The sequence below is a fragment of the Homo sapiens genome, chromosome 17 (assembly GCF_000001405.40).
Source record: "Homo sapiens chromosome 17, GRCh38.p14 Primary Assembly".
Lineage (NCBI taxonomy): Eukaryota > Metazoa > Chordata > Mammalia > Primates > Hominidae > Homo > Homo sapiens.
In genome coordinates this window covers 36,500,233-36,513,934 of record NC_000017.11, presented here as the reverse complement: position 1 = coordinate 36,513,934, position 13,702 = coordinate 36,500,233, and the positions used below count along the sequence as shown (strand labels likewise).

General features: G+C 53.2%; 1 protein-coding gene across 37 annotated transcripts in view; it reads left to right on the top strand.

The window, feature by feature from the left end:
• MYO19 (myosin XIX) overlaps positions 1–13,702 on the top strand; it is a 49,180-nt gene that overhangs the window by 30,881 nt on the left and 4,597 nt on the right. For 14 of the 37 annotated variants that reach the window (XM_047436835.1, XM_047436840.1, NM_001163735.2 and 11 more), the window contains 14 exons: positions 210–306; positions 430–506; positions 2,480–2,570; positions 3,018–3,189; positions 4,800–4,873; positions 6,011–6,132; positions 6,423–6,536; positions 6,796–6,972; positions 7,327–7,479; positions 8,531–8,638; positions 9,915–9,985; positions 10,735–10,838; positions 12,700–12,866; positions 12,976–13,105. In XM_047436835.1, coding sequence (XP_047292791.1) covers positions 210–306; positions 430–506; positions 2,480–2,570; positions 3,018–3,189; positions 4,800–4,873; positions 6,011–6,132; positions 6,423–6,536; positions 6,796–6,972; positions 7,327–7,479; positions 8,531–8,638; positions 9,915–9,985; positions 10,735–10,838; positions 12,700–12,866; positions 12,976–13,105 — 1,657 coding nt within the window. Of the gene's footprint in view, positions 1–209; positions 307–429; positions 850–1,051; positions 1,062–1,155; positions 1,278–2,479; positions 2,577–3,017; positions 3,190–4,799; positions 4,874–6,010; positions 6,133–6,422; positions 6,545–6,795; positions 6,973–7,326; positions 7,480–8,530; positions 8,639–9,914; positions 9,986–10,734; positions 10,839–11,973; positions 12,077–12,699; positions 12,867–12,975; positions 13,106–13,702 lie in introns of those variants that run through there. The other 23 variants (XM_047436823.1, XM_047436826.1, XM_024450955.2 and 20 more) reach the window with 7 other exon arrangements.

The window sequence follows — 13,702 nt, the reverse complement described above, 5'->3', positions numbered from 1 at the left end:
GCAAGGTTCTTTTGCATCAGGTTGGAGACATCCAGGGCTATGTTTACGGCATCTTTTGCCCCCATACCTGCCGTGGGCTCTCGGAAGGGACCTCTGAGCCTTGTGATGTTGCTACCAACTCTCCTCTTATCCCAACCCCATGCCTGCCTATGCAGGCCTGGGCTTTTCTCAGACCCCCTACCCAGCCTCCCACCTACCCTTCTCCACAGATTTGCAAAGGAGCCAGTGAGGACGAGAGGCTCCAGTGGCACCTTCCTGAGGGAGCTGCCTTCTCCTGGCTGCCCAACCCAGAGAGGAGCTTAGAAGGTAAGGGGAGCCCCATCCAGCACCTTGCGCTGACCCAGCATCACCCACCCACTCTGTACAGAGCCTGCCTCCCTCGCATCTTGCTGCTGCTGACCTCTGCCCCGAACTTGGATTCTTTTTCAGAGGATTGTTTTGAGGTGACCAGAGAGGCCATGCTCCATTTGGGCATTGACACCCCTACCCAGAACAACATCTTTAAGGTCAGAAGAAAAGCCACGCCACTTAAGTTTGGCAGAGATGACGGGCAGCCCTTTGCATAGAGCTTTTCCCTGGACTTGGAGTTGGTCTTTCCCTGAGGATCTAGGACTTTGGGCCCTTCTGTGCTACCTCCAAGGAATCAGTCACCTCTGTTCTGCTGAGTCTGGAGACCAGGTGGTGGGGTGGACGGGGCATAAGGAAGAGTGATGCATACACAGTGCTAGAGTACAGAATGCAGTAAGTGATCCATGGGGGCAGAGAGCAAGGTACCGCATGATCAGAAGAGAGAACTAGTGCTACCGCCTTGCTTGTCTAGTACATTAAAACTTACAAGTCATGTTCACACTTCTCTGCTCACTTAGTTTTTTAAACAGTCCTCTGTGTGTGTTTATTTCCCTTTATGCCTGAGAAAACCAGAGAGGTAAAGTGACGTGCCCAAGGTCAGATACCACTAAGTGGTGATACAGAGTACCAGACATAGTAATTCCAAGTTCCTACCCTCTCTGTCTTCCCCCAACCCGTGCCCCGTCGTCCTCTGGAACATGAGACTGCCCCAGGTGAGCTGGGCTCCTCTCAGTCACACTAGGGGGGCCTCCCTTCTGTCTTTGCTGACAGAGCTGACTACCTCCTCTCATCTTCCTCACCCTCTAGAGCAGCAGGAGGGGATAGATAGGATGGCCTGGCAGTCGAGAAAGGGAGGCCACTTCAGGGAGGTAGCAATGCAGTGGAAAGTGACCCTCACCTCCAGATGGGGGCTGCTCAGACACTGCCAGGTAAGAACTTGACAGAAGGACAGTACCTGGGGACAAGCCCAGGATAAGTGGACAACACTGGGAGTCGGGGCAGGAGTGCTTTGGGGGTGGGCATGACCCTCTGCCACAGCCCTTCTGCCTGGTGGGCATGGCAGTCTTCTGGAGCAAGTTGTGGCCGGAAGACCAGTAGCACATGGAGGCACCCTGCCTGGGACCATATAGGAATGGTGGGTGGGGTCCCTGTGTCAGGTCTGAGGGTGGTGGTTTTTTCTTTTTTTTTTTTTTTTTTGAGATGGAGTTTTACTCTAGTTGCCCAGTCTAGAGTGCAGTGGCACAATCTCAGCTCACTGCAACCTCCTCTTCCCGGGTTCAAGTGATTCTCCTACCTCAGCCTCCGAGTAGCTGGGATTACAGGCATGTGCCACCACACCCAGCTAATTTTGTGTGTGTGTGTGTGTGTGTGTGTGTGTGTGTGTGTGTGTTTATTTTTAGTAGAGATGGAGGTTCACCATATTGGTCAGGCTGGTCTTAAACTTCTGACTTCAAGTGATCCACCTGCCTCAGCCTCCCAGAGTGCTGGAATTACAAGCGTGTGCCACCATGCCTAGCTGGGTCTGAGGGTTTTGAAGTTGCTGGGCCTTGGTGGGGTGAGGGGAGCTTCTGTCTATAGCCCCAGGGGGCTTGTCGGTGTGGAACATTGAGTACAAAGGCAAAGGGGCACCCATCGGACACAGACCAAGGTCACAGTGCCTCCAGCAGGCTGGGCTCTCAGAAGCCTGACAGTGGGAAAGGGCTCAAGGAAGCAGAGACAAGCCTCCAGCAGGCACACAGAAGCAGCCCTGCCCCCAGTCACCAGTCTATTCCTAGAGAGCAGGGGGCAGAAATGTAGAGGATGGGTGGGCATGGAGGCCCACAGGCTGCCCCAGGAGACATCTGAAGTCAGCCTGGGTTCTCATCCCACCTTTCCCCTCAGGAAGCACGTGTCCTCAGTCTCATCTCTATCATAGGCAGTGGCGTAGCACATACCTTACAGGTTGTTGAAAAGTTGCAATGAGGCGATGCATGTAACTTGTATAGAATTGTGTCTGGCAGAGATGGGCACTTGGGCCATGATTGGGAGCTGCCCTTCTGCTGTCGTGATTGTACTCAGCAGAACGGCCCTTCCCAGAGTAGGCCCACGTCACGCCCTCTCCTACTCCCACCCATCCTTTTCTTTCCCCCAGGTCCTAGCTGGACTGCTGCACCTTGGCAATATCCAGTTTGCTGCCTCCGAGGATGAAGCCCAGCCCTGCCAGCCGATGGATGATGCCAAGTGTGAGGGTCAGGGTGTAGGATGGGGCAGGCCCTGTCAGGAAGGTAGCCAGCATTGCTGGGGTTGGGTGGAAGGCTGGATGGTGAAAATTGGAATCTGATGCCCTTGCTTATGCCACCCACCATAGGGCCTGGCCCTGGATCATTTACTCCTCACCCTGTCTGGTGAGGCAGACAGTATCGTCCCCATCTTAAAGATGAGAAAATGAGTCAGAGGTTTGTAAAGTGATTTGTCCCATACATGGCAGCATGGACTGGTACATGAAAGTGCTGGGTTTGAGTTCTGACTGCTGTTTATGGAGTCCTTTGGGTGAGTCACTTCACTGATCAGAACTTAGGTTTCTTCTGTCCAGTTGGGCAAGTCATGGTCCCGCTGTGATGACTTCACAGTGCCTCGTGAAGAGGACTGGATGGAGAGTGATTTGCCTAAAGAGGATTTGCCCCTCCCAGACTCTGTCAGGACGGCAGCCTCGCTGCTGGGGCTCCCAGAGGACGTGCTGCTGGAGATGGTGCAGATTAGAACCATCAGGGCAGGCAGACAGCAGCAGGTGTTCCGGAAGCCCTGCGCCCGAGCCGAGTGTGACACCCGTAGAGACTGCCTGGCCAAACTGATCTATGCGCGGTGAGCAGTTACTCTGGCCCCTTGTTGGGGAGGACCCCGACAAGTGCTCTTCCTGTCCGGGGTTGGGCCAGACAACATCAGGCAATAGGCACAGGCCCAGGGTGGGAGATAAGACAGACTGGTTCCTCTCCCTGCTCCTCAAACCCCTGGACACATCAGGGCACAGCTCCCAGGTTTCACCAAGCAGCGTCTGTGGCCTCTTTCTGAGTGGGAAAGTTGCTACATTCCTGGCCAGAATTCAGCTCATTATTAAAGTTCAGGAGGCTGCTTTAGCCTCAGCAAGGTGAAGAGAACCTGCTCAGCTGTCTGCTGGCAAGGCAGGCCCCAAAGGTGATCTAGAGCCTTCGCAGTTCCTGCTTCAGATCCTTGGCTGAATGGGCCTCTCTGTCTCCCTGTGCCTTTGTACATCACCTAGGAGTTTGATAGATTGTGGTAAAGCCAGAGGCTCAGCCCACAGCATGTAGCACAGTGGTGAAGGTGGGGTCCTGGCCTTTTCTGGTAGATTACGTGGGTACCTCCACCCTCTGGCCATGTGGTTAAGGATGATCTCTCACCTTGAGTTCTGAGATTCTTCAGCAGGCCTTGTAAGGGCTTCAGGGGCCCAGAATCCTCTGAGATGAGCCAGAATGAGTGTATGTGTGTGCATGTGCACATGAGACCTTGGGCACCTTTCTGGGGAGAGGGTCCCCTGCTTTCATAAACTCCACAAAGAGCCAATAGCCTGAGAAGCTCTGCTGGGGGAACCAGATCGTCCGAGTTGAAAATGGTCCAGGGCAGCTGAGGCCAGACTAAATCCATTTCAGCAAGAGACTAGTTACCACTGCCTCAAGCTAATTTCAGGTCACAATTTGAGGTCAAAGGCTTTTAAAGCCTTTGCCTACAAGTCACTCCAAGATGAGCAGATAAAGTGTGATGAACACAGATAGAGTGAGCTTCTGACCACAGGACATTTGCACAGCCCCTGTTGCAAAAAGAGCCAGTTTATTTACTGAAGGGAAAAAAGTTGCAGAGCAATTACTTTAAGAAAAAATGTGAGGAAGAAACCCCTGTATAGTGCTGTACGTGTCAGCGTCTTGTGTGGTAGTCTCATCTTCTCTGGGCTGGGGCCGGTTCTAGAGTGGAGGATGCCATTGTTGACCTCGGGACTGGGGGCCCACTTGTGCAGAACTACATCAGGGGGTATGGTGGGGCCTTGAGCTCTGGGCTCCACCGGTAGAGTTTTGCAGGGGTGTTCAATGAACTCAGTTATTTACAAACCACACCCAGGCCCATCTGCCCCTTCCCAAGACACTAGCTGGGTCTCGAGCCATGTGACTGAGCTCGACTGATTCCCTCCCCAGCCTAGGAGCTGAGCTTGTCCTGTGCTCAGTCTTCCCATAAGGACATGCCAGGTTTGTGTGTACCTGGCAACATGCATGCCCATAGCCTGCATCTGTAGTAGGTCAAGACGTGATAGGCCGGAAGCAAGAGGAGAGGATTTGGTCTTTGACCTGTCAGGCTCAGAATACAAGGGCCCCCCAGGGTGTAGCACCCTGATGGGGGGAGCAATTTTACCACCCCTTTGACTCAGCCAGACCCTCTTACCAGAGTCCACTCTCTTCCCCCAACAGGTTGTTTGACTGGCTGGTATCAGTGATCAACAGCAGCATCTGTGCAGACACCGACTCGTGGACCACTTTCATAGGTAGCAAGGCCTCACTGTGCTGGGAGCACTCCAGAAAAAGAGCAATAAAGCCCTGGATGGAGAGGCAGGAGCCCTGGGTCCACTGTGTGACTCTGGGCAGTTCCTTTCCCTTTTTTGTCTCCTCTTGCATCTGCCTGCCAGCATAGAGCGAGATCTCTGCATAGGGTGAGATCTCTGCTCTCCTGCACCCACATCTGAGCAGTCCATAACTCTCCAGACAGGCTCAACAGTGCCTTGTCTGAAAGAGCCCTTTACCTCCCCAGAGACCCAGCTCTAATTGTGGGAGAGTAGTGGGGGTTGGGGAAAATAGCTGTATTAGAAGGGACTTTGGAGGCTGGCACCGTGGCTCACACCTGTAATCCCAACATTTTGGGAGGCCAAAGTGGGAGGATCACTGGAGGCCAGGAGTTGGAGACCAGCCTGGGCAATATAGCAAGACCCCATTTCAAAGAAATTAGCCAGGCATGGTGCTACATGCCTGTAGTCCCAGCTACTCAGGAGACCGAGGTGGGAGGATCACTTTAGCCCAAGAGTTTGAAGCTTCTGTGAGCTGTGATCACACCACTGCACTCCAGCCTGGTCAACAGAGCAAGACCCTATCTCAGGGGGGAGAACAAAAAAAGACTTGGGGGACATGACTGAGGGAGGTCAACACGGTTGTAACTAGGTGGGACAGTCAGTTATAGGAGGAAATAAAGCTTAAAGGTACAAGTGCAGTTTGCTCATGGAATGGTGGAATTCTAGGCACCAAATTGGCTAGTGAGACTAATGCCCTCCGAACTAGATTTAACACAGAAAATGTTCCCTGGGACCTGGTTTCCTCATAGGAGGTGCCTATCAGAACCAGAGAATTCAGACTCAAAAATGGGCCTGATGCTCTGGGCTGTCTTCACACTTCATTTGGGTTTCCTGCTTGCTCTGAGCTCTACAGGGGAATGGGGTAGAGATGGGAGCCACCTTGGGTGGAGGGTGGGGAAGGTATGTTCTGCCCACCACAGGTGTCATGCTCACTCAGCCTGATGCCCAGGCTGCCAAGTATAAGGCATTGGCAGGGGCCCAGCCACCCTGGGTTCCTTGGTCCCCTATTCCCCATCTGCTCCCTGCAGTGGCCCCATGGGTTCTCTGCCATCTTCCCAGGCCTGCTGGATGTGTATGGATTTGAATCATTTCCTGACAACAGTCTGGAACAGTTGTGCATCAACTACGCCAATGAGAAGCTGCAGCAGCATTTTGTGGCTCACTACCTAAGGGCCCAGCAGGTGAGGGATGGGGTGAGCAGGAGGCAGGTCCTTCTTTTGGATCCTCAATCCCTTCCTGACCTTCCAGCCCCAGTCCAGGTTCTGATTAGAAGCCTTTTGTTCCTTCTTATTTTATTTTTAATTGACAAATAATAATTGCACATATGGAGTACAATGTAATGTTTTGATATACTTTTGTTTCTTTGATGCTGTTCTGGAATACGCTGTGGTACCGAGGCCAGCCGTGGATGGCCCGTCAGGACATCAGACCACAGCTGCCTTCTCCCACCTCATCCCACCTTGTTCTTTAGGAGGAATACGCAGTTGAGGGCCTGGAGTGGTCATTCATCAACTACCAGGACAACCAGCCCTGTTTGGATCTCATTGAGGGAAGCCCCATCAGCATCTGCTCCCTCATAAATGAGGTGGGGAGGTCAGCTAATGAGCCGAGCACCAGAGTTGGCCTTTGGGTTTTCTGGGGCCTTGATGATTATCCTGTTTCCTCTCTGTGCCTCTCTCCTCCCAGTCTGCCAAATAGATCTGCTAATTGCTATATTTTTTCTGTTGGGGACACTATGATGCCTGTGTGATGTCTGCTGTCATGGGGTCCACAGGGTGGGGACAGTGAGGGTTGTGGTGAGACACTCTCATGTTGGTGGCTGACCCCCTGTTCCCATCCCACAGGAATGCCGCCTCAATCGACCCAGCAGCGCAGCCCAGCTCCAGACACGCATTGAGACTGCCCTGGCAGGCAGCCCCTGCCTGGGCCACAATAAGCTCAGCCGGGAGCCCAGCTTCATTGTGGTGCATTATGCGGGGCCTGTGCGGTACCACACAGCAGGCCTGGTGGAGAAGAACAAGGTACGGGCTGGGCCATGCCCTGTGGGGCCTGCGAGAAACGAGATGCTGGGTCTTTGCTATGCAGACATAGTAGTTTCCCATCGTGAGTCCTTTCTCTCCTGAACCTCCTCCCAGAATCCAGAATCACCATCTTGGGCCCACCTGTCTGAGGTCTCCACTAATCAAGCATGACCTGCCTGGAGATAACCCATGTTAGACTGGGTCTCCAGGTCTCTGGTTGTCCAATGGACCTTCTCTTGGACTCAGGCCCTGTCCTACCTGGAAGCCCCGTCATCTGCGGCTTGGGTGGGCAGTGGATGGCCCTGAGCAGAAGCTCCACCTGCCCTCACTGCTGCTCTTGCCATTTCCCAATAGGACCCTATCCCACCTGAGCTGACCAGGCTCCTGCAGCAATCCCAGGACCCCCTGCTCATGGGGCTGTTTCCTACTAACCCCAAAGAGAAGACCCAGGAGGAACCCCCTGGCCAGAGCAGGGCCCCTGTGTTGACCGTGGTGTCCAAGTTCAAGGTGGGTCTGATGTGCTGATGGGAGGTGCTTGGTTCAAACTCCACGGTCTCACAAATATTTATTGAGCACCTGCCGGGATCGGTGCTGTTTGTTGGGGAGCAGTGGCAAGTCAAGTAGATGTGGTCCCAGTCCCCTGGAGTTTATACTTCAGTGTGGAAGACAGAAACAGTAGACAAATAGGCTATCAGGTATAATATGATGGGAAGTCTAGGGGCCTATGGGGGCACTATGCAGCCTCTCACCCCCTGCCACTGGGGTGCTCATGGGAAGAGGATCAGCTACATGAGCTTCTTTGACCTGGCTCATCTCCAGCTGTCTAGCTTCCTGTTCTAACCCTACCCTCACTCACTTCTCTCACATCGTCTGCTTTCTACCACCTCTCAGTCCTTGCATGTACCGCCCCACCTTCCTGGGATACTCTTGACTACTGCCCCATCAGCTCCACCTCACTCCCATCCTCCACGCCCCTTTTCCTAGTTTAGTCCTTCTCATCCTTCAGACTTTAGCTTTATCACCACCACCTCGAGGAGGCACCTGGAAAACCAGGTTTGATTAGCACCTTCCTACCCAGCCTCAAACACACCCCCGAGGGTGTTCATCCAACATGTGTGGCCCATTGGAGTGAGCTCTGACATGGCAGCAGGCAGCCTGTGGCACAGCCTCCAACACACAGGATGAGCTGAGTGATAACAGTTGTTGCTGGACGAATGGCAAGAAGTTTTGAGATTGTTCTTTTCTAAGAAGATTGCTCTGGGGAGAAGTGGGGAGGGGAAAGAGGAGGAGATTGGATTCAGGGAGAACAGTCAGGGAGGATCACAGGTTTAGAAGGGTCCCTTAAGACAGAGGTGAGGAGCATGGGAAGTTGGGAGAGGAATGTGCTCTGAGCCTGCTCGTTGAGAGCCTGCAGCAGTCATCCCTGCACAGGAGATTCTTGGTCTCAGGATCATGGAAGGGCCCGCTGGAGGCATTTGATGTAGTTACTAACCAGAGCCCAGTTGATGGCCCTGGGCAGCCCCTCTCCCTGCCTAACCCCATGGTCTCTCATCTGCAGGCCTCACTGGAGCAGCTTCTGCAGGTCCTACACAGCACCACGCCCCACTACATTCGCTGCATCAAGCCCAACAGCCAGGGCCAGGCGCAGACCTTTCTCCAAGAGGAGGTAATTAACACCGGGCCAAAGCTGCTTCGCACCAAACCCCATCTGGCCAAGGCCCTGGAGAGATGAAGGGCAGGACATCTGTTCCAAATGGAGTGCACAGAAGTGGTCTCTCCGGCCAGGCCTGACATGAGAGAGGACCCATCTCCCTTGCTGTGGCAGGGCAGGCATGTATGGTTGTGTGGTCTGTGCATAGTAGCCTAGCCAGGGAGGCAAGTTCCAGTGCATCTTGTTTTTTTGAGCCATGTACCCTGATGAGAGACTGAAACTGCCCAGAGGAATGGGTGTCTCGTGATTAGCTGAAAGTCTACATCACCACACAGTCCCCGCACAGTGCAGCCATTTCTCACTGGAGGTATCATTTTTTTCTTTTTTTTTTTTTTTTTTGAGACTGAGCCTCACTCTGTCACCCAGGCTGGAGTGCAGTGGTGCAATCTCAGCTCACTGCAACTTCCGCCTCCCGAGTTCAAGTGATTCTCCTGCCTCAGTCTCCCAAATAGCTGGAATTACAGGTATGCACCACCACACCTGGCTAATTTTTGTATTTTTAGTAGAGATGGAGTTTCACCATGTTAGCCAGGCTGGTCTCAAACTCCTGACCTCAGGTGATCTGCCCACCTCAGCCTCCCAAAGTGCTGGGATTACAGGCATGAGCAGCCACTGCACTCAGCCGGTATCATTTTTTTCTAATCTAACAAAAGCACTCTAGCCAGCAGCTGCCCTTTTCTTGGGATTCCAGGTTCTGAGGGATGTGGATGAGGGGTGAATGCTGGGCACTGCTGAAGGTGTGGCCTGGTAGATGTGGCCTTCCGGTTTGTAGCCAGGACAACTCAGCTCTGTGGTAAAGACCTGGGTTCAGGTCACAGAAGAATCTTCATAGTATAATCTTCCCTGCCTCTCAGCTGTGAACCACCCTCTAATGCCTGCAGACAGTGAAAACAATCCAAACTGGAAATTTGCCTGGGCTGGGTTGTGTGGTAGTGAGACTACACTGAGGGCAGGGTGAGACGGAGCCAGGACATCACTTGCTTCAGCTGTATCAGAAGCCATGCGTCGGATGAGGGGGACTTGGGACCACCAGGACCCTTTCTAGTGGGAGATTTGTTTTCAAGGTCCCTCGATTTCTCACAGCCCCAAGGAGATACCCCCATTAGCCAAGCCTTGGGAGAGCCTGCAGCTTGGCACTGGCCAGGGTCTAAGAAGAAGGGCTGAGAGAATGGCATTTCTGGCCTGCTGGCCCCATGCTGCAGGTGCCTGCCCTGTCTCCCCACCCTTGCAGGTCCTGAGCCAGCTGGAGGCCTGTGGCCTCGTGGAGACCATCCATATCAGTGCTGCTGGCTTCCCCATCCGGTGAGTGGGCTCGATCACGGCACAGTGCAGGGCCAGTACAGAGTGGGGCTCAGGACTCTCATTGGGCAAGAGCCTGCCCAACCCAGAGTGAGATGTGGAAATGAAGAGAAAGAGGCTGGTCTGTAGAAGTCAGCTGGGAACTAGGGAGCAGCACCCATTCGTTCATCCATTCACTTATTGTGCACTATTTTGTACCCAGCTGATGGCTGTGACAAAAGCCACACTGGTACAATGTTGGGGACAGAAGCCAGACTCAGGAGGGCTGACAAGCAATTGGGAGGAAGTGCAGATATCAGGTGCCAGCAGCTGTCTGAGAAGTGTTGCCTTGATGAGGAGCAGGGAGATCTGGGGGAGGCAGAGGAGACTGTGGGGTCAGAGAGGTCAGAGGGGAGATGTGGCCAAGCATGTCTGCGTCATAGGACTGGTCCAATTGTTTGGGGAGAGGCCTGTCAGCCCCTTTGGAGGGAGGCAGCCCGCAAATCCCCTGCTAACACAAGAGATGCTTTGTGTTGGTAGACCAAGGCAGCAGGGAGAGCAGACCCATTTTAAATAGTCTTTATGGGTTTCCAACTAAGTGATCCTAGAAATCGCTTCAAAACCACATTCACATTCAGTGGGGATACTCGGGGAGGGCAGCACCGTGCTGTGTTGTTGAGCAGATTAAATAGAATAACTTCTGATGAGCCCTGAACCGTTAACCTGGCTCACAGATGAAGTAATTCTCTACTTCTGCCTGCTTTGGCCTCCAGGGTCTCTCACCGAAACTTTGTAGAACGATACAAGTTACTAAGAAGGCTTCATCCTTGCACATCCTCTGGCCCCGACAGCCCATATCCTGCCAAAGGGCTCCCTGGTGAGTGGGACCCATGAGTTAGTCATTTGTGCAACCACAGTTTACTGAGCATCTACCCTGTGCCCTGTCTTAGGGCTAGGGGCTGGGGCTTACTGGTGAATAAAACACAGCCCTGGTTTTGGTTCAGTGGGGGAAACAGATTCAAAAAAGACAAATAGCATGGAAAGTGGAAAAGCAGAGCTATGAGCAGGATGCTGTGGGTGGTGCTAGGGAGGTGTGAATTGGGGAAGGCTTCCTGGAAGAGGTAGTATCTGAGAATAAATTGGATTAGCCAGGTGATGGGTGGTCCACATGATAAATGTAATCTGAACAAAGGCCTAGAGGCTTGAGGCAGCAGTGTGGGTATGAGGAACTCCAGCCAGTTCTGTGTTGCTGGTTCATTGAGGCAGAGAACTGGGGCAGGTGAGGCTGGAGTGGCAGGTAGGGCTCCATCAAGGAATCTGGACTTTATTCTCTGGGCAGATGAGCAGGCACTGCAGGGGAAGGAGCAAATGACTCTTATCAGCCTCACACTTTCTGGAGACCACTCTGGGGGCACCATGGAGGGCTGTGGGATTGAGGCTGCAAAGTTGCCCCAATAGAGAGAAACAAGAATTGTGGGCACAGTCGGGAAATATTTGTTGGAAGAAACTGGTCAGTCTTGGTAGGGGCTTGACTAGATGTAGAGGGAGAGGAAAGGAGTAAATTAACTTAGCCTGGGAAGTGAGGAAAAGCAAGAGGAAAAGAGGTTCAGGGAGGCTGAAGAGCCCGGGCATGGGTGACTTGTCCTGCAGGTCCAGTGAAGAAGTCTGCAAGGCACTTAGGCAGGCTTTAGTCTCAAAGGAAGGATCTGGAGGCCCTCATATGGGGGTTGTCGGCATGCAGATAAAAGAGAGGCTGTGGGAGCCACAGGGCCCAGACACAGGCAGAGGGAGAACAGGCCAAGGACAGGCTGCCGGGGGGCCCCGCCTCGGCAGGACCCCAGCCCAGCACCTCTGCCCCTCCCACCCAGCCTTACCCTGGGCCCCTCACAGCCATTGGGGCAATCCTGCTTTGTTTCCTCCCCTCCTGGGCAGTTTTCACTTTCCTTTCACCCTTTCTCCTTTCTTCTCCCTCTCCATGGTTTGCTGTCCTGTTCCGTGTCTCTTGCCCATAGCCCTTCTGGCCCCTGGTTGATTTTGCTGCTGTTTCTCATCTGTGGTGTCTCCTTTGGCAGCCTCTGTCTTCAGAGAGGCACTGGGCATCTAAGGTGGTCAGAGCCCTCAGGTAAATCCTACCTCTCCAGGAGTCAGCTCTGCGAGCTGCGGGAGGGCAGGCAGTGGGACACGGGACCTTTGCAGGGCTGGGATTTTTTAAATTTATTTTTTAATTTATTCTTTTTATTTGCAGTAGAAGATTCCCAAACTAAGGGCTGGGATTGGATCTCCCTTTTCCCATACATGGTGGGGAGTTGAGGGGTCGGGGCTGAGGGAGTGGCCTATAGCTGCCCTATTTGGCCCTCAGGATGTGTGTTTGGGCCTTGGAAACAAATGCTGGCTGAGCAGCCTGGGATTCCAAGCTTGGAAGGAGTCACCCTTCCAGGTGTCAAGCACCCTCTGCCAGCCTGCCCAAAGGGACTCATGGCAGTAGAGGCTGTGGGACACCCCAGGACACACAGGCGCAAGTGGGTATTCCAAGGCTCCACGGAACAGCTAGCACCCTGAGGGACAACAGAGAGGCTGTTTGTGGCTTCCTCCAAAAGAAGAACAAGGAGAAAATGGCTAGAGCCAAGAACAGCAGGAAAGAGACCTGTAGAGTGCTAGGGAGGCCAAAGCCAGTTTCTTCAGGCCACAGAGGCATGTAGAGATGACCATGCACTGATGGGGCCATCTCCCTCCCCCAGAATGGTGTCCACACAGCGAGGAAGCCACGCTTGAACCTCTCATCCAGGACATTCTCCACACTCTGCCGGTCCTAACTCAGGCAGCAGCCATAACTGGTGACTCGGCTGAGGCCATGCCAGCCCCCATGCACTGTGGCAGGACCAAGGTGTTCATGACTGACTCTATGGTGAGCTGGTTTGGGGATGAGGAGGTTACAGAGGCAAGCTGTGTGCTCTCCTCAGCAGGAGGGGGCAGGGGGAGAAGAGGCTGCCCTCAATGGATGCCTTTTCTCCCAGCTGGAGCTTCTGGAATGTGGGCGTGCCCGGGTGCTGGAGCAGTGTGCCCGCTGCATCCAGGGTGGCTGGAGGCGACACCGGCACCGAGAGCAGGAGCGGCAGTGGCGGGCCGTCATGCTCATCCAGGCAGGTAGGTGGGCAGGTCACCTGTCAGCACTGCTCACAGACCCCACAGGATGTTGGTTTCCTTTGAAACATAGCTCGTCGAGTCCCCATCTCCTGAAGCTGTGTCCCAGCCTGAAGAGATGTCCCTGTGGTGTGCTGGGATTCAAATTCCCTGTCCCCCTCACTCATAACGTCTCTCCAGTTCAATGGAAACCAAGTCACTCCACAAACAAAGGTGCTCTGTAAGAAGTGGAGGCTAAGCGTTGTCTAAGCGTTGTCTTTAATTCCTTTCTCAGACCCTGACAGCTGTTTAGGCCAACTTTTTTTCCCTTTATGACAACTCAAACCATTACCTGCTGGGCTCTAGGGCTGGAATGAATTTAAGGAGAAGGTAAAAACCAAAAGGAGTTCATCAGATGAAAAGATGTATTAACCAACATGTTCATAGTGGTCTTATTTTGAAAAGGAAAAGTGTTGGAAAGAACCCAAATATCTAACAGTGGTGACATCATGGCCAAATGATGGACTGGACCATCCCTATGATGCAGCTAAGTGTTTTTGAAGAATATTATAAATTTAATGGAGAACCACTTCCAAAATGATATTCATACCTAGATGTCAA